This window comes from Homo sapiens, chromosome X (genome assembly GCF_000001405.40).
Source record: "Homo sapiens chromosome X, GRCh38.p14 Primary Assembly".
Classification (NCBI taxonomy): Eukaryota; Metazoa; Chordata; class Mammalia; order Primates; family Hominidae; genus Homo; species Homo sapiens.
Window position 1 is genome coordinate 431,991 of NC_000023.11, and position 19,142 is coordinate 451,132.

General features: G+C 50.8%; 1 long non-coding RNA gene across 2 annotated transcripts in view, besides 8 other annotated features; it reads left to right on the forward strand.

Moving 5' to 3' along the window:
• Positions 1–19,142, forward strand: part of LOC102724521 (uncharacterized) — a 42,736-nt gene that overhangs the window by 1,970 nt on the left and 21,624 nt on the right. The window contains exons 2-6 of one of the 2 annotated variants that reach the window (XR_001755744.2): positions 1,847–2,104; positions 3,587–3,701; positions 5,614–5,780; positions 9,324–9,396; positions 9,630–9,934. This is a non-coding gene — a long non-coding RNA (uncharacterized LOC102724521). Of the gene's footprint in view, positions 1–1,846; positions 2,105–3,586; positions 3,702–5,613; positions 5,781–9,323; positions 9,397–9,629; positions 9,935–10,721; positions 11,407–19,142 lie in introns of those variants that run through there. The other variant, XR_007068359.1, reaches the window with a different exon arrangement.
• Positions 3,962–4,461: an enhancer, noted in NCBI's record as "H3K4me1 hESC enhancer chrX:396687-397186 (GRCh37/hg19 assembly coordinates)". NCBI's record gives its function as "activates a minimal SCP1, AML or CMV promoter by ChIP-STARR-seq in naive H9 embryonic stem cells {active_cell/tissue: H9 hESC(naive)}" and the evidence as "EXISTENCE:reporter gene assay evidence [ECO:0000049][PMID:30033119]".
• Positions 5,632–6,182: an enhancer, noted in NCBI's record as "CNE-5 PCR-amplified reporter construct fragment". NCBI's record gives its function as "enhancer in ovo in chicken limb buds" and the evidence as "EXISTENCE:reporter gene assay evidence [ECO:0000049][PMID:19997128]".
• Positions 5,632–6,225: an enhancer, noted in NCBI's record as "CNE-5 PCR-amplified reporter construct fragment". NCBI's record gives its function as "enhancer in human U2OS osteosarcoma cells" and the evidence as "EXISTENCE:reporter gene assay evidence [ECO:0000049][PMID:26631348]".
• Positions 5,759–5,880: a conserved region, noted in NCBI's record as "conserved region; CRCNE00011074 more deeply conserved sub-region". NCBI's record gives the evidence for it as "EXISTENCE:sequence alignment evidence [ECO:0000200][PMID:21731768]".
• Positions 5,921–6,083: a conserved region, noted in NCBI's record as "conserved region; CRCNE00011082 more deeply conserved sub-region". NCBI's record gives the evidence for it as "EXISTENCE:sequence alignment evidence [ECO:0000200][PMID:21731768]".
• Positions 13,884–14,717: an enhancer, noted in NCBI's record as "OCT4-NANOG hESC enhancer chrX:406609-407442 (GRCh37/hg19 assembly coordinates)". NCBI's record gives its function as "activates a minimal SCP1, AML or CMV promoter by ChIP-STARR-seq in naive H9 embryonic stem cells {active_cell/tissue: H9 hESC(naive)}" and the evidence as "EXISTENCE:reporter gene assay evidence [ECO:0000049][PMID:30033119]".
• Positions 13,884–14,722: a biological region, named in NCBI's record as "OCT4-NANOG hESC enhancers GRCh37_chrX:406609-407442 and GRCh37_chrY:356916-357447".
• Positions 14,191–14,722: an enhancer, noted in NCBI's record as "OCT4-NANOG hESC enhancer chrY:356916-357447 (GRCh37/hg19 assembly coordinates)". NCBI's record gives its function as "activates a minimal SCP1, AML or CMV promoter by ChIP-STARR-seq in naive H9 embryonic stem cells {active_cell/tissue: H9 hESC(naive)}" and the evidence as "EXISTENCE:reporter gene assay evidence [ECO:0000049][PMID:30033119]".

Here is a 19,142-nt window from a genome sequence, read left to right on the forward strand (position 1 = left end):
TAGGTAATTGATATAGATGCATGATTGACAGATGATTGGTTGTCAGATAATTGACCGATAGTAATGGATAGCTGATTAATAGATAGATAATTGATTAATCAATAATTGATAGATGATAGATAAAGAATCTCTCATGCCCAGGCAGCTTTCTCAGCTCTGGCACTGCTGATGTTTGGGACTGGAGGACTCTCTGTCTTGGGGCCACCCTGGGTGCTGCAGGGTGCTAACTCTCTTGATGAGGCCGTCCTGGGTACTGTAGGGTACTGAGTCTCTGTGATGAAGCCGTCCTGGGCTCTGTAGGGTGTTGAGTCTGAGTCTCTGTGATGAGGCCGTCCTGGGCCCTGTAGGATGCTGAGTCTCTGTGATGAGGCCGTCCTGGACACTGTAGGGTGCTGAGTCTGAGTCTCTGTGATGAGGCCGTCCTGGGCCCTGTAGGGTGTTAAGTCTCTGTGATGAGGCCGTCCTGGACACTGTAGGGTGCTGAGTCTCTGTGATGAGGCCGTCCTGGGCACTGTAGGGTGTTGAGTCTGAGTCTCTGTGATGAGGCCGTCCTGGGCCCTGTAGGGTGTTGAGTGTCTGTGATGAGGCCGTCCTGGGAGCTGTAGGGTGTTGACTCTGTGGTGGGGCCGTCCTGGGCGCTGTAGGGTGCTGAGTCTCTGTGATGAGACCGTCCTGGGAGCTGTAGGGTGTTGACTCTGTGGTGGGGCCATCCTGGGCGCTGTAGGGTGCTGAGTCTCTGTGATGAGACCGTCCTGGGAGCTGTAGGGTGTTGACTCTGTGGTGGGGCCGTCCTGGGCGCTGTAGGGTGCTGAGTCTCTGTGATGAGGCCGTCCTGGGAGCTGTAGGGTGTTGACTCTGTGGTGGGGCCGTCCTGGGCGCTGTAGGGTGTTGAGTCTCTGTGATGAGGCCGTCCTGGGAGCTGTAGGGTGTTGACTCTGTGGTGGGGCCGTCCTGGGCGCTGTAGGGTGCTGAGGAGCGTCCCTGGGCTCCACCCAGCAGATGCCAGTTCACCCCCATGTTGTGACATGCAGACATGTCCCCTGATATTGCTGAGTGTGTCCGGGGAGGGGGCAGGATGTCCCCTGGCTGAGAACCACACTGCACTAAGGAATTAAGAGGACGGCCGCACTTAGAGACACAGTTGCCCATGAGCTCATACCGGCTTCTCCAAGCAGGTCACTCTGAAATCTTGTTTTTTTTTTGTTTTTTTTTTTTTTTTTTTTTTTTTTTGAGACAAAGTCGTGCTCTTGTCGCCCAGGCTGGAGTGCGGTGGTGCCATCTCGGCTCACTGCAAGCTCCGCCTCCCGAGTTCACACCATTCTCCTGCCTCAGCCTCCCGAGTAGCTGGGACTACAGGTGCCCGCCACCACGCCCGGATACTTTTTTGTATTTTTAGTAGAGACCGGGTTTCACCGTGTTAGCCAGGATGGTCTCGATCTCCTGACCTCGTGATCCGCCTGCCTCGGCCTCCCAAAGTGCTGGGATGACAGGCGTCAGCCACTGCGCCCGGCCCAACAGCTCTTTAAGTGGCTTGATTATGACCCTTGCACGCTGGCACCTGTCTTTGGGATCTTGGCATGGGCATGGACCCATGGATTAGTCAAACACCAACAGGGGCTCAGAAGGAAGGAGAGAATCTATATGGGAGGCTGGCACCTGGCAAGGGATGATCCCTTCATTGCTGCAAAGGCAATGAAGAAGGAAGAAGGAGGCAATGAACAAAGGAAGAAAGGAAGGGAGGAGTGATGGAACGAAGGAAGGAAGGGGAAGGAGGGAGGGAAGGACGAAAGGAAGGAAGGAGGGAGGGAAGGAAGGAAGGAAGGAAGCTTCCATTCTTCCATTGTAGCAGCAGCGTACACTGCCCAGCCCGGGCTTCGTTTCCACTTTCTGTGACCTGGTGTGGCGGTGAGTCTTACTCAGCGTGCTTGAGCCGAAATGTCACCAGCTGCCCGCCGACCTGGGATGACACCTTGGGCCGTTCTGTTTTCTCCCGTTCACCGGTCAAGACGCTGAAACTCGGGAGCTTTTGGCGGCCGAGCTGCGTGAAGGGACTTCAAGAGACGAGGAGACGGACCCCGTGGAAACCTCTCCCACCTGGCGATTGGTGAGGAGGACAGAGGCGACGGCAGAGGCGGTTTCATTTTGTGCTTTGAGACGGCCGTTTTGAGGTTGGGAGGCAGCCGCGATGGGAGTTGGGTTTGTCAATGGCATTTTTTTTTTTTTACTTTTTTATTATTATACTTTAAGTTCGAGGGTACATGTGCACAAAGCGCAGGTTAGTTACATACGTATACATGTGCCATGCTGGTGTGCTGCACCCATTAACTCGTCATTTACATTGGGTATGTCTCCTAATGCTGTCCCTCCCCTCTCCCCCAGGAAACAACAGGTGCTGGAGAGGATGTGGAGAAGTAGGAACACTTTTACACTGTTGGTGGGACTGTCAACTAGTTCAACCATTGTGGAAGTCAGTGTGGCGATTCCTCAGGGATCTAGAACTAGAAATACCATTTGACCCAGCCATCCCATTGCTGGGTATATACCCAAAGGACTATAAATCATGCTGCTATAAAGACACATGCACACGTATGTTTATTGCGGCACTGTCCACAATAGCAAAGACTTGGAACCAACCCAAATGTCCAACAACGATAGACTGGATGAAGAAAATGTGGCACATATACACCATGGAATACTATGCAGCCATGAAAAAGGATGAGTTCATGTCCTTTGTAGGGACGTGGATGGAATTGGAAATCATCATTCTCAGTAAACTATCGCAAGGACTAAAAACCAAACATATTCTCACTCATAGGTGGGAATTGAACCATGAGAACACTTGGACACAGGAAGGGGAACATCACACACCGGGGACTGTTGTGGGGTGGGGGGAAGGGGGAGGAATAGCGTTAGGAGATATACCTAATGCTACACCAACATGGCACATGTATACGTATGTAACAAACCTGCACATTGTCCACATGTACCCTAAAACTTAAAGTATAATAATAATAATAATAATAATAATAATAATAGTAATAATAAGCTGACCAGGATTTCCCCTCAGAAGGGCCCTTTCCCTGAGGGTCTTCGCTCCCCGAGGCGGACCCTACAGTGATCCGTGTGGGGGTTCCTGGGGCGGCGGTCGTCCCCTCCCGGGGGGTCTCCTGGCACCGATCTCACCTGCGGGAGCCTCTCCGGCCTGGCTCTTTGATGTGCAGAGATGGCGAAGAAGAAAATAACTTTAAAAATGGTGAGAAGCCGTCATTGAAGTTAACATAAAAGAGGATGACGCGGGGTGTTAATTGGTCTGTCTCTGGCATAATTTGGGCCCGGGAGACGGGGTCCCTGGGCCCCTCGCCCGAGAGCGGAGACTCACATCTTTAATTCAGCAATCTTTGTATTAATTACCTCCGCATAGGTACGCTTTGATTGGGAGCGCTTTCTTATAAAATCACAGCGATCGTCTGCCTTAAGATAAATAGATGAGAGTTGAGCTGGGGGAAGAAAAAAAAAAAAAAACAGTTCATTCGACTCTGAATATCAAATTCAGGATAAAACACCACTGATTCTCGGTCATTCTCAGTAGGGGAAGGAGCTTCTATTCTTGACCCAGCCCACGACACGTGCCGGGGCTGTCAGCGCCGTGAGAGGCACCTGTGTCTCCCCGAGCTGAGGACGGATGACATTTGTACCTACAGGTTTGTATACGGTCCTGGGAGGTGCCTCCTTGCCAGTGAAGGACCAGAACTCACGGCCGGCCATGGGTGCCCGGCGCCGGGATGGGCAGGAGCGGTGGCCCCAGGTCCCGGGTGTGGGTGAGGCCCCAGGAAAGAGGAGAATTCACTGGGAAAATGCAGAGCTGAGGGAAAAGACAGGGGTGTCCCGGGGACCCGTCCAGACCGCAGGATGGTGTGAGGCCGGGAGGTGGACGCGGCGGTGAGCTGTGATTGCGCCACTGCACTCCAGCCTGGGTGACAGGGCAACACCCTGTCTCTCTCTCTCTCTCTCTCTCTCTTTTTTGTTTTTGGAGATAGAGTCTCGCTCTGTCACCCAGGCTGGAGTGCAGGGGCGTGATCTCGGCTCTCTGCAACCTCCGCCTCCCGGGTTCAAGCCATTCTCCTGCTTCAGCCTCCCGAGTAGCTGGGATGACAGGCACCTGCCAGCACGCCCGGCTGATTTTGTATTTTTAGTAGAGATGGGGTTTCACCATGTTGGTCAGGCTGGTCTCGAACTCATGAGCTCAGGGGATCCGCCTGCCTCAGCCTCCCAGAGTGCTGGGATGACAGGTGTGAGCCACTGCGCCCGGCCAGGAATCAGTTTTTATTACGCTCAAAATCCCCTAAAAACTAGGCACCAGGGGAGGATGAACTGGCTCAGAGAGAAAGAGAGAGAGACACAGAGACAGAGACAAAGAGAGAGGCAGAGAGACAGAGACAAAGAGAAAGAGAGATAGAGAGAGAGAAAGAGAGACAGACGCAGAGAGACAAAGAGAGATGGAGAGACAGAGAAAGAGACACAGAGAGAGGCAGAGACAGAGAAAGAAAGAGAGGCAGAGACAGACGGAGAGATACAAAGATGGAGAGACAGAGAGAGACAGAGAGGGACAGAGAGATACAGATACAGAGAGAGACGTAGAGACACAGAGAGAGACAAAGACGGAGAGACAGAGAGAGACAGAGAGATACACACAGAGAGACAGAGACAGAGACAGCAGACGGAGAGAGAGAGAGATGGAGATGGAGAGAGACAGAGACACAGAGAGAGACAGACACAGAGAGAGACAGAGAGACAAAGATGGAGAGACAGAGACAGAGAGACAGAGACACACAGAGAGACAGAGACAGAGAGACACAGAGAGAGACAGACAGAGAGATGGAGAGACAGAGAGACACAGAGAGAGGCAGAGACAGAGACAGAAAGACAGAGAGGCAGAGACAGAGGGAGAGATACAAAGATGGAGAGACAGAGAGAGACAGAGAGGGACAGAGAGATACAGATACAGAGAGACGTAGAGACACAGAGAGAGACAAAGACAGAGAGACAGAGAGAGACAGAGAGATACACACAGAGAGACAGAGACACAGAGACAGCAGACGGAGAGAGACAGATGGAGATGGAGAGAGACAGAGACACAGAGAGAGACAGAGACACAGAGAGAGACAGAGAGACAAAGATGGAGAGACAGAGACAGAGAGACAGATACACACAGAGAGACAGAGACAGACACAGAGAGAGACAGACAGAGAGATGGAGAGACAGAGAGACACAGAGAGAGGCAGAGACAGAGAAACAGAGAGACAGAGAGACAGAGACACAGACAGAGACAGAGACAGGGAAGGAAGGAAGGGAGGGAGGGAAGGAGGAAATGAAACCAAAGAAAGGAAAGAAAAACCCCCAAGAGTCACAATCAATATACGTCCTGCACAAATTCCTGCAGTTTCCAGGAGGTTCCCGCAGCTCCCCGGGGCCCGCCACCCCCCGCCACCCCCCACCCACTCCCAGAGCCGCCTCCTTCAACACCCCGACGTGCTTCATCTACCACGAGGCCCACGGCGGCTTCCGGAATATGCGGCAACTTTTTATTTTTTTTTTATTTTTATTTTTTTTAAGGGGTAAAAAAAGATAAAGCAAACACGGAACAGCACACTCCTCCCGGCCTTCCTTCTTCTGACACCGTTTTCCTTTAGAAGATCTGAAACTACAAGTCAGGACATGACACGTGGAGCGTCCCAGGCACGCGCAGCCTCTGCTGTTTGATTTCCGACGTGAGTCTATAGGTGAGGCTGACAGGTTTCAGATGGAAGAGGCAGGGCAGACGCCTTTCAAGAGAGGCGCGTTGTCTGGGTAAATCCATCAAGGGTGCGTCCTGGGAGACGACGGGCCGCCTTTGTAGACAACGCCACGGCACGGGGGCCCCCCACGCTGGGCGCCCACCCCGGCTGGCTGACAGGCGGCCCCCGTTTCACCGTGATCACGAGTAAAAGCCAGTTCCCTGCAGGTTACGGGGCTGCTGTGTTTTGACATTGACCTTAATGCATAATTTAACCACAAAGCATATGAGGTACGTGCAACCAGATGAGGAAAGGCCACAGGACTGGCAGGTAACGTGATGCTGAATCAGAAAGGATGTTTGTTCCCGATCGTGCGGACGTGGGGGCCTCTGCCGAAGAGGCGGAGAGGGGAGGAGGGGGAGGAGGAGGCCGCGGTCGTGTCTGTCCCAGGGCTGTCGAGGAGAAGTCGGTCTGGGGTCCTGGATGAGGAGCAGAGCTCGGGGAGCTGTTAACATTTCCTGGGACAGCGATGGGCTTGGAGAGCCTCACTGTGCACACATGTGGCCTGTTTTTTTTATTTTTATTTTTAGTTTTTGAGATGGAGTCTCGCTCTGTTGCCCAGGCTGGAGTGCAGGGGTGTGATCTCGGCTCACTGCAACCTCCACCTCCCGGGTTCAAGCCATTCTCCTGCCTCAGCCTCCCGAGTAGCTGGGACTACAGGCGCCCGCCGCCACGCCCAGCTAATTTTTTGTATTTTTAGTAGAGACGGGGTTTCACCATGTTGGCCAGGCTGGTCTCGAACTCCTGACCTCCGGATCAGCCCGCCTCGGCCTCCCAAAGTGCTGGGATGACAGGCGTGAGCCACCGCGCCCGGCTATGTGGCCTGTTTGCTGGGACGGAGCCGCTGGCATCCTGGCGGCAGCTTCAAAACACAGTCACAGTCTCAGGGGAGCAAAAGCACCCGGTCCCCATCACTGTCCCCAAGAAAGGGAGCAGCAGGGGGTTCCCGCGGCTGGCCAGGAAGCTGGGGACAAACGGTGGCGTACCTGAGCACCTGCATTCCCGCAGTGAAGGACAGGTCGACACGGGCAGCTTTGCTTCTCTCCTGGCCAGCTCGGTCAAGCTTCCTGCCTCTGGTGCCTGGAATGCAGAGTCCTGGGTGCGCAACAGGCATTGCCTGGGTGGGCTGGCGTTTTTGATTTGTTTTGTTTTTTTGAGACAGAGTCTCACTCTGTTGCCCAGGCTGGAGTGCAGTGGCGTGATCTCAGCTCACTGCAACCTCCGCCTCCTGGATCCAAGTCATTCTCCTGCCTCAGCCTCCCGAATAGCTGGGATTACAAGCACCTGCCACCGCACCGGGCTAATTTTGTATTTGTAGTAGAGACGGGGTTTCACCGTGTTGGCCAGGCTGGTCTCGAACTCCTGACCTCAGGTGATCCACCCACCTCGGCCTCCCAAAGTGCTGGGAGGGTTGGTGTTTTTATGACCTTCACACAGACCCCAGAGCTGGTGTTGGAGGAGGGTGCAGAGACCCCAGGAGGTACCCTGGAAAGGAGCCCAATAGGAAGACCCAGGACTCTAGGGCAGCAGGTTCAAGCCTGCTCAGCTGGGAAGACCGTTTCCTTCAGGAGTGTGGCGGGTTCCACACGGCGGGTTGGAGACATGCACCTGCCCAGGCTGGGCCACTCAGGGTTCACGCCGGGGCACTGAGTATTTTGGGGGTGCAATGAACTCTGCACAACGCACCAGGGTGGGGGCAGAGATGAATCAAAGAAGACAGCTGTTTGTGTGTGAGCTTCCCTGGCCTGTGCACACAGAGACAGACATACACACCCACACACACACAGGCACACAGATGCCTGTACACATACATTCACACCCAGACACACATATGCATTCGTACGCACCTACACACACATCTGTACACACACATTCACACCAACACACAGACATACATTCATACACACCTGCACACACACACACGTACACACACTCCTATACACATACATTCACACCCACACACAGACATACGCACCCACACACACATTCATACACACCTGCACCACACACAGGCGCACACACTCCTGTACACACACATTCACAACCCCACACGTACACACCAGGACACACACATTCATATACACCTGAACACAGGTGCACACACACGCCTGTACACATCCATTCACACCCACACACAGACATACACACCTGTACACACACATTCATACACGCACACACACACGGGTACACACGCCTGTACACGTTCACACCCACAGACATATACACAGACACACCTGCACACACACACACAGAGGCACATGCACACACACACCTGTACACATACATTCACATGCACACACAGACACAGCCCCCCACACACACAGGTGCACACACACGCCTGTACACATACATTCACACCTACACACAGACACACACCTGTACACACACATTCATACACACATGCACACACACACGGGTACACACGCCTGTACACGTTCACACCCACAGACATATACAGACACACCTGCACACACACACACAGAGGCACATGCACACACACACCTGTACACATACATTCACATGCACACACAGACACACCCCCCACACACAGGTGCACACACATGCCTGTACACATACATTCACACCTACACACAGACATACACACCTGTACACACACACACACAGACACACCCCCCCCACACAGGTGCACATACACGCCTGTACACATACATTCACACCTACACACAGACATACACATCTGTACACACACACATTCATACACACACAGATACACACCCACGCACACACAGGTGCACACACACGCTTGTACACATACATTCACACCCACACACAGACATATACACACAGACATTCATACACACCTGCACAGACACACACATACACAGGCCCATGCACGCACACCTGTACACACACACACCCACACACAGACATACACATCTGCGTGGCAAACATTGACCCCTTCCTCAGGCTGCTGCTGCTGCTGCAAATGTTACTCAGCGATCGTCCAGCCCAGGCTGCAGGCCGACCCTGAGGGCCCTGGAGGCCTCATAAACCACACGTCCGGCCTCGGCTGATTCCACAAGGCTCCGTGGAGCTACCTGTGCAGGGGGGAGAGGCGTGAGGCTCAAAGGGGCCCTGGACGCAGGGACAGACGTTTCTTTACAGACACCCACGTGAGGCAGACAAACCACACATATGTCTCCAACCACACATGGTAATTCGTGAGGATGAAGAGATGAAGGCCCCAGGCCATATTCCCTTTGTGCTGTCCTGGTCTAGCGTGAAATGTTAATTTTTGCCTTTTTTCGTGTACAAAGGGGCCCTTAGGTTGTTAGATGTTCCTGCTTTCATAGTAGACGCATGTGGACTTTTCGTGGTATTTTGTTGTGTTTCTACTGCTTGTTGGAGGCAGAAAAAGCGACTCGTCAATGTTTTATAATGAAAATGAAAAGTATGAAAGGTGAGTGTGAAGTTGTAACAGACATACTTTTGTGAATTTTGGTGATTTTTTTTGTTTGTTGGTTTCAGTCTTTGGAAAAAATCTGTGGTTGGCCGGGCGCGGTGGCTCACGCCTGGCATCCCAGCACTTTGGGAGGCCGAGGTGAGTGGATCATGAGGTCAGGAGATCGAGACCATCTTGGCCAACGTGGTAAAACTCCATCTCTACTAAGAATACAAAAAATTAGCGGGGTATGGTGGCGGGCACCTGTAGTCCCACCTACTTGGGAGGCTGAGGCAGGAGAATCGCTTGAACCTGGGAGGTGGAGCCTCCCCAGATGCACGGCTGTGTCCCAGTCCAGGTTCCAAAGGGGCTTTGTGGATCTTTTTCTGCAGACCGAATGAATGCTTTGTCCTGCCAAGTCCTACGTTGAAACCCTGAACCCCAAGGTCAGAGTGTTACTAGTGGGGGGTCTTTGGGAGGTGAGGAGGTCGTGATGGTAGAGTCTCACGAATGGGATTAGTATCCCCATAAAAGGGACACCAGAGCTTCCTCTCTCTCTGTCTCTCTCTCTGTCTCTTTCTCTCCACCCCGCACCATGGAATGACACAGCAAGAAGGTTGCCGTCTGCAAGCCAGGAAGGGAGTCCTCACCAGGAGCTGAGATGTTGCTACTTTGATCTTGGACCTCCAGTCTTCATGTGTGTGAGAAATCAATGTCTGTTGTTTAAGCCCTGTGGTTTGTGGTACTTTGCTGTAGATTTTCTTTCTTTCTTTCTTTCTTTTTGAGACTGAGTCTCACTCTGTCGCCCAGGCTGGAGTGCAGTGGTGTGATCTTGGCTCACTGCAACCTCTGCCTTCTGGGTTCAAGTGATTCTCCTGCCTCAGCCTCCTGAGTAGCTGGGACTACAGGCACCTGCCACCACACCTGGCTGATTTTTATATTTTTAGTAGAGACGGGGTTTCACCATGTTGGCCAGGATGGTCTCAATCTCCTGACCTCGTGATCCACCCGCGTCAACCTGCCCAAGTGCTGGGATTATAGGCATGAGCCACCGTGCCCGGCAATTCTATCTATCTGTCTGTCTGTCTGTCTGTCTGTCTGTTTGTCTGTCTATCTATCTATCTGTCTATCCATCCATCCATCTAATCCATCCATCCATCTATCATCTATCTATCCATCTATCTTTTGGGTTTTTTTTGAGACAGAGGAGCTGAAACATAGTGAGAGGTTTCTATACCCAGAGAGCTCAACCTCTAGGGTGGAGAAGTTTAAACATTCACTAAACTGGCTTTCATTTAGTAATTGGTGCAGAGCAAAGAGAGACATTTGTGTATGTGTGTGTGTGTGTTTTCACATCACAATATATCATTCTCTTCTCTTCATTTTGTCTCATTTTTCAGAAGCAACAAAAAGGAGAAGATAAGTTTATTTCCATGCAGAGAAGGGAGAGTTTGCTTTCCATTTTATTTTATTTTATTTTTCAGATAGAGTTTCACCCTTGTCGCTCAGGCTGGCGTGCAATGGCGCAATCTCGGCTCACTGCAACCTCCACCTCTGGGGTTCAAGCGATTCTCCTGCCTCAGTCTCCCAAGTAGCTGGGATTACAGACACCCGCCACCACACCACACTGCAACCTCTGCCTTCTGGGTTCAAGTGATTCTCCTGCCTCAGCCTCCTGAATAGCTGGGACTACAGGTGTCTGCCACCACACCCGGCTGATTTTTGTATTTTTAGTAGAGACGGGTTTTTACCATGTTGGCCAGGCTGGTCTTGAACCCCTGACCTCAGGTGATCCTCCCGCCTTGGCCTCCCAAAATGCTGAGATGACAGGCATGAGCCACCATGCTCGGCTGAGTTTGCTTTCTTTGGAGAGCAAACAGATAGCCCCACCAGAAATGTACTTATTTACTTAGTTGCTTGCATGTTTGGAGTGGATGTTGGAGTTTTTCTCAGCCAGGGAGGTGAGAAAGTCTCCATCAAGTACTCATTCATTCATTCATTCATTCGTTCATTCAATTCAACTTTGAATTTAAAAGTGGAGAGTTCCCCTCCGTCTGACCACAAAGTGATGTGCAGAAGTAGCTTCATTTTAAACCTGCAGATAAGATGGATCGGTCTCTGATTTGTAATTAGAAGTGCAGCAGATAACGAGACAATCTGAATGTCCTACCAAGTCTTTGACCTGTTCTTTGGGAGGTGGCATAACCTTATCTTCAATCATCAAGGCTGCACGTGGAGGAGTTATTCAGGCAGCTGAAAATATCACCCCAGATCTTGCAGAGGAAGCAACCTAGGAGTCGGAGTGTCCCTGCAGATGCTCCACACACGGGTGGGATATAGAAGGAGTGGAGGTGGACGAGGTCTAAGGAGAACAAGGAAAAGGACATGAGAGGATCAGAGAAGACCTCAATAGCTTAGCCAGGGAAGGAATTCATGGGAAAAACATTAGGGGAATTTATAGTCTTGGCAGGGAACCCAAAGATGGAGACTCAGACAACAGGGCAGAACCCAAGGGAGGAAGGTGGTCGGGGAGGACTCTCCAAGCTGCCTCTGGGCTCTGGAGATGTTGCTGTGGTCATGAGGAATTTCTGTCCTGCAGCTGATTTCCTTTATTCTCTCAAGGTTCCAAGTGCTGGGCAGAAAGTCCAGCTCCCTGGATGCCAGGATGGGGGGGATAGAGAATGTATGAGGCTCCAGGATGCCAAAGAGGGAGGTGACGCTGGTTCCCACTGAGACGTGTGAGGCAGGAATGACCCCAAAATGACAAGGCTCCGAGTCCCAGCACGATGATTCAGCTTCCCCATCTCACGTGTTCATGGAAGGAGCATGAGGAACTCAGGCATCAGGAAGAAAGTGCCCTCGGTTTGGGGTGGGGCGAGCTTTGGGAACCTCAGGAAACATTTCACGATGACCAACAGGATCAGCCAGTGGGAGAGGAAGAGGAGATTTGTTGCAACCTTGAGGTGGGTTCACTGTGGACACAAATCAGAGGCAGGACAGCCACAGAGAGGACCAACTATTGGCCACGTGTGGGTAAGAGGAAAGAATTGTGACTGGGTTCACAGTGCAGGGGGCATGGATTGAAAAGCAGGACACATCTTCCTCTCTTCTGGTTTCATTGAGCCTTTGCTAAATAGAAGCTAGAATCTCATAGACCTGGTGGCAGCTGTCTTACTCCCTTGGTGTTGATATGGCAGAATGCCATAGACTGCATGGCTTAGAAACAATAAGAATTTACTGCTCACAGCTCTAGAGGCTGGGAAGTCTCAGATCAACGCGTGGTAGATTTGGTGTTTGGTGGGGAAAGTCCCAGATCAAGGCGTGGTAGATTTTGTGTTTGATGGGGACCTGTTTGCTCATTCATAGACGGTGCCATCAGGCTGTGTCCTCATATGGTGAAAGGGGTGAGGGAGCTCTCTGAGGTCCCCCCTTTTTTTGAGATGGAGTTATGCTCTTGTACCCCAGGCTGGAGTGCGATGGCACGATCTTGGCTCGCTGCAACCTCTGCCTCCTGGGTTCAACTGACTCTCCCGCCTCAGCCTCCCAAGTAGCTGGGATTATAGGTGTCCACCACCAAGCCTGGCTAATTCTTGTATTTTTAGTACATATGGGGTTTCACCATGTTGGCCAAGCTGGTCTCGAACTCCTGACCTCAGGTGATCCTCCTGCCTTGGCCTCCCAAAATGCTGGGATTACAGGCATGAGCCACCGTGCCTGGCCTGGGGTCCCCCACTCCTTTTTTTTTTTTTTTTCCTTTTTTAGATGGAATTTTGCTCTGTTGCCAGGCTGGAGTGCAGTGGTGCGATCTCAGCTCACTGCAACCTCTGCCACCCGCATTCAAGGGATTCTCCTGCCTCAGCCTCCCAAGTAGCTGGGATTACAGGTGTCCACCACCACGCCTGGCTAATTTTTGTATTTTTAGGAGAGACAGGGTTTCACCATTGTTGGCCAGGCTGGTCTCGATCTCTTGACTTTGTGATCTGCCAGCCTCGGCCTCCCAAAGTGCTGGGATTACAGGCCTGGGGTCTGTAATTTTTATAAAGGCACTAATCCCATTCATGAGGCTTCATCCTCACAATCTCATCACCTTCCAAAACTCTACTTCCTAACACCATCACCTTAGCGGTTAGGGATTCAACATAGCAATTTGTCGGGGGAACACGACATTCAGTGTATACTGACCGTTGTTCTTCAAACACCTGCTAAATTATAATTAATATCATTATGGGAGAACACCCTTACCATAGAATATTCCCACCACCAGGATCTCCGTGATATACCTTCCAACTCTGCAAAATAACAAAACAGCAAAACAACACAACGCAAACGGAATAAAACCCTTTTCTTTTGACTGAGTGCAGGGCAAGTTAGAAAACTCCCCAAAGATGAGTTTCTCCTCCTTTTTTTTTTTTTTTTTTTGAGTTATGAGCAGAAAAAGTTTGGACACTTTCGCAGAACTCAGAAACATATTAATTTTTCACGGCCTCGTAAGTCAAAAATGGCTTGTCCAATTTGCTTCAAACTTCGCAGCCTGATAGAAAGCCCCAGAACTTTCCAGCCAGAGAAGATATTTTGTCAGAGTTGGAAGGAGGTCAGAAGAGGGCATTAATGTGGAGGATGTGAAGACCTGGGCCCCGACCCTTGATGGGCCTATCTGTAATTAGCTGGAGCCCTCCCCCGGATTTGGGGTTGACAGACGCTCAGGACAGCACGATGATCTCAAGGGCGTCAAAGGGCAAAGCTTCCCCATCAATGGCTCTGTTTGGAGAGGGAGTAGCTGGGGGAGTCAGGGACTCAGCGTGGGGCTCACACCCTCTTTTACCGAGCACTTCTGATTTATATTATAAAAATCTCATTTTCAGAAAAGAAGGGAGTTTTACATGGGATAGGGTGGTGTGAAATCAGCAAATCAGCAAAAAGAAAACAAAACAAAAACGCTTTTCAGGAAAACGATGATGGATTTGGGTGGGGAGAGGGCAGAGCTCCTGGGACCTGATTACTGTTAATTTGTAATCCAGGGAGGTCCTGAGCCTGGTGAAATATTAATGCTTGAGAAAGGCCACTGTCTTCTGATTCTTTCTGTGCTTTTGGGACAATCCCAATGGATGCAACACACCCCCGCGTTGATTTATTTATGTTCACAGCATGGCCGAGGCAGCAGGAGACCCCAAGTTGTATTCAAAATATCCAAAAGGGGCTTTTCTTTTTCCCTTTGTTTATTCAAAATATTCAAAAAGGGCTTTTCTTTTTCCCTTTGTTTCCGCGATTTCTGCGCTGTTGGCTGAAAGTGCTCTGAGTTCACGCGCTACGGGGGGTGACTTCCATTTCTGCAGACAGCAGCCTTGGGGATGGCCTGGCGAGGGCTAGGAATACCACACCCTGATCCCATTCTTCCTGGCTCAGTCCTGACTGTGAGAGTCACGGTGGACTCTGGGTTTTTCGGTTTTTTTGTTTGTTTGTTTTTTTGTTTTTTGTTTTTTTTTTTTGACAGGGAGTCTCGCTCTGTCGTCCAGGCTGGAGTGCAGTGGTGCACCCTAGGCTCACTGCAACCTCCGACTCCTGGGTTCGATTCTACTGCCTCAGCCTCCCGAGTAGCTGAGACTACAGGCACCGGCCACCACGCCTGGCTAATTTTTTTTATTTTTTAAATAGAGATGTGGTTTTGCCGTGTTGGCCAGGCTGGTCTCGATCTCCTGATCTCAGGTGATCCACCTGCCTCGGCCTCCTAAAGTGCTGGGATTATAGGCGTGAGACACCATGCCTGGCCTCTGAACTCTGTTTTAAGTTTTTTTTTTTTTTTAATTGAGGTGAGTTTCACGAAACATGCAATCAACCATTTTATTTTTATTACTTATGTATTTATTTTGAGACAGGGTCTCGCTCTGCTGCCCAGGCTAGGGTGCACTGGTGCAATCACAGCTCACTGCAGCCTCAATGTCCTGGGCTCAGGTGATCCTCCTGCCTCAGCCTCCTGAGTAGGTGAGACCGTGGGCATGCCCCACCATGCCTGGCTAATTTTTGTATTATTACTATTTTCTTGGTAGAGACAGGGTCTCACTGTGTTGCCCAGGCCCATCTTGTACTCCTGGTCTCAAGCGATCCTCCTGCCTCGGCCTCCCAAAGTGCTGCAATTACACAGGTGAGGCAACGCAGCCAGCAACCCTTTCAAGCAGAAGGATTTGTTGGTATTTACTGAATTCACCTTGTTGTGGTAGCATATCATCTACATAATACCAGAATATTGTCATCCCTCAAAAACAGAGCCAGGAGAAGAACTGCCCATTTTCCCTCCCCATTCCCAGGCAACTCAAAATCTTCCTTCTGTCTCTATGGGTTTGCCTGTTCTACACATTTCGTATATGATGGGAATAGGCTTTTTTTTTTTTTTTTTTTTTTTTAGAAAGAGTCTCGCTCTGTCAGCCAGCCTGGAGTGCAACGGTGTAATCTCGGCTCAGTGCAACCTCCACCTCCTGGGTTCAAGCGATTCTCCTGCCTCAGCCTCCTGAGTAGCTGGGATTACGGGCACCCCCCACCACACTCAGCTAATTTTCTTTTCTTTTTTCTTTCTTTCTTTCTTTTTTTTGAGATGGAGTCTCGCTCTGTTGCCCAGGCTGGAGTGCAGTGGCACGATCTCAGCTCACTGCAATCTCCGCCTCCTGAGGTCAAGTGATTCTCCTGCCTCAGCCTCCCAAGTAGCTGAGATTACAGGTGCCCACCATGCCAGGCTAATTTTCTTTTTTTGAGATGGAGTCTTGCTCTGTCGCCCAGGCTGGAGTGCAATGGTGAGATCTCGGCTCACTGCAACCTCCACCTCCTGGGTTTAAGTGATTCTCCTGCCTCAGCCTCCTGAGTAGCTGAGATTACAGGTGCCCACCATGCCAGACTAATTTTCTTTTTTCTTTTTTCTTTTTTTTTTTTTTTGAGATGGAGTCTTGCTCTGTCGCCCAGGCTGGAGTGCAGTGGTGTGATCTCAGCTCACTGCAACCTCTGCCTCCTGGGTTTAAGTGATTCTCCTGCCTCTGCCTCCTGAGTAGCTGGGATTACAGGTGCCCGCCACCATGCCCAGCTAATTTTCTTTCTGGTTTTTTTTTTTTTTTTTTTTTTGAGACAGAATCTTACTCTGTTGCACAGGCTGGAGTGCAATGGCATAATCTTGGCTCAGTGCAACCTCTGCCTCCTGGGTTCAAGCGATTCTGCTGCCTTAGCCTCCTGAATAGCTGGGATGACAGGCACCCATCACCACGCTCAGCTAATTTTTGTGTTTTTAGTAGAGATGGGGTTTCTCCATGTTGGCCAGGCTGGTCTCGAACTCCTGACCTCAGGTGATCCACCCGCCTCAGCCTCCCAAAGTGCTGGGATTACAGGTGTGAGCCACTGCTCCTGGCCAAAAAATTATTTTTTATAGACCTGGGGTTTTGCTATGTTGCTCCGGGTGCTCTCCAATTGCTGGGCTCAAGCAATCCTTCCACCTCAGCCTCCCAAAGTGCTGGGATTACAGGCACGAACCGTAGCACCCGACCGGCCTCTTTATACTATTTTGCAGGAACATTACCTTGCTTTCAGTGAGTGCAGTTCCCACGAAAAAGCCGCGAGTATGGAGAAGTTTGCCTAGAAAACTTAGGCAGTTACTCCTTTTAGATAATTTAACTTCAAAGTCGAAACAGGGCATCGCAGAAAGGATCTGAATTTAGAGGTATGTTTTATTGAATCACTCAAGGCCTAGAAATAGAAATGATCAAAGGGTGTTTGCGAGCGTGCTTTCCAGCTTCTGAGGAGCTGAGCCCAGCTCACTAATGATGGCAATTGTGGTCATAGGTGACTCGCCCCCGAGCTGGGGGTGCCTCTGAGCGCCTCTGCCTTCCACCCTACTGGGGAGCAAGGCTGTGGGGCCACCTCTAATGATTGGTTGTTATTGTCTGAGGATATCTAGAAATTCAAGAGAGATCTACTTTATACTCTGGAAATGAAGAGCCTTTTGTATTCAGCAAAGGGATCGGTGTTGAGAGGGGGCTTCACGGGTGTACACCGTGGGGAGTATCCCTCCTGGGTTCCAAGCTCAGACAGGTGGCCCAAGACAAGATGTCTGGCTTTTTAAATTTTAATTTAATTTAATTTAATTTTAATTTAATTTTAATTTAATTTTAATTTAATTTAATTTTAATTTAATTTAATTTTAATTTTAATTTTAATTTTAATTAATTAATTAATTTATTTTCGAGACAGAGTCTCTCTCTGTCGCCCAGGCTGGAGTGCAGTGGCGCAATCTCGGCTCACTGCAAGCTCCGCCTCCCGGGTTCACGCCATTCTCCTGCCTCGGCCTCCAGAGTAGCTGGGACTACAGGCGCCCGCCACCACGCCCGGCTAATTTTTTGTATTTTTAGTAGTAGAGACGGGGTTTCACCGTGTTGGCCAGGATGGTCTCGATCTCCTGACCTTGTGATCCACCCACCTCGGCCTCCCAAAGTGCTGGGATGACAGGTGTGAGCCGCCACGCCCGGCCCGTTATTTTTATTTTTAGTACAGATGAGGCTTTTCTCTGTTGCCCAGGCTGAAGTGCAGTGACGTGATCAGGGTCCTTGCATTTTTTGTTTTGAGACAGGGTCTTGCTCTGTCGCTCAGGATGGACTGCAGGGATGTGATCCCAGCTCACTGCAGCCTCAGCCTCCTGGGCTCAAGCCATACTCCTGCCTCAGCCTCCTGAGTAGCTGGACTACAGGTGTGTGCCAGTATGCCTGGCTGTTTTTTTCTAAATGATTTTTTTTGGTAGAGATGGGGTCTCACTATGTCTCCCAGGCTGAAGCTCTGTGGTGTGATCATAGCTCACTGCAGCCTCGAACTCCTGAGCTCAACTGATCCTCCCACCTCAGCCTCCTGAAGTGCTGGGATTAGGGGGGTGAGCCACTGCACTCAGCCAACAGATAGAGATGGGGTCTCGCTATGTCTCCCAGGCTGAAGCTCTGTGGTGTCATCATAGCTCACTGTAGCCTCGAACTCCTGGGCTCAACTGATCCTCCCACCTCAGCCTCCTGAAGTGCTGGGGTTAGGGGGGTGAGCCACTGCACTCAGCCAACAGATAGAGATGGGGTCTCGCTATGTCTCCCAGGCTGAAGCTCTGTGGTGTCATCATAGCTCACTGTAGCCTCGAACTCCTGGGCTCAACTGATCCTCCCGCCTCAGCCTCCTGAAGTGCTGGGATTAGGGGGGTGAGCCACTGCACTCAGCCAACAGATAGAGATGGGGTCTCGCTATGTCTCCCAGGCTGAAGCTCTGTGGTGTCATCATAGCTCACTGCAGCCTCGAACTCCTGAGCTCAACTGATCCTCCCACCTCAGCCTCCTGAAGTGCTGGGATTAGGGGGGTGAGCCACTGCACTCAGCCAACAGATAGAGATGGGGTCTCGCTATGTCTCCCAGGCTGAAGCTCTGTGGTGTCATCATAGCTCACTGCAGCCTCGAACTCCTGGGCTCAACTGATCCTCCCGCCTCAGACTCCTGAAGTGCTGGGATTAGGGGGGTGAGCCACTGCACTCAGCCAACACATCTGTAAATATGCCTAAGGCATCTATACCGTAGTAGGTTTGCTACAAGGATCAAGCAAGATAGTGTTCTGGAAATACAAGCCTCACCCTTACGAAGCTGTTTCAGCAGGTGTAACAAATGGCCGTTCACAGAGTGGCTCAAAAAAACACACATTTGGCCAGGCGTGGTGGCTCATGCCTGTAATCCTACCACTTTGGGAGGCTGAGGTCGGAGGATTGCTTGAGACCAGAAGTTTGAGACTATAGCCTGAGCAACAGAGTGACGTAGTGATACTTTGTTTCTAGAAAAATAAAAAAAAAAATAATTAGCCGGGTGTAGATGGGGGGGGGGGGTGGTCTGTAGTCCCAGCTACTCGGGAGGCTGAGG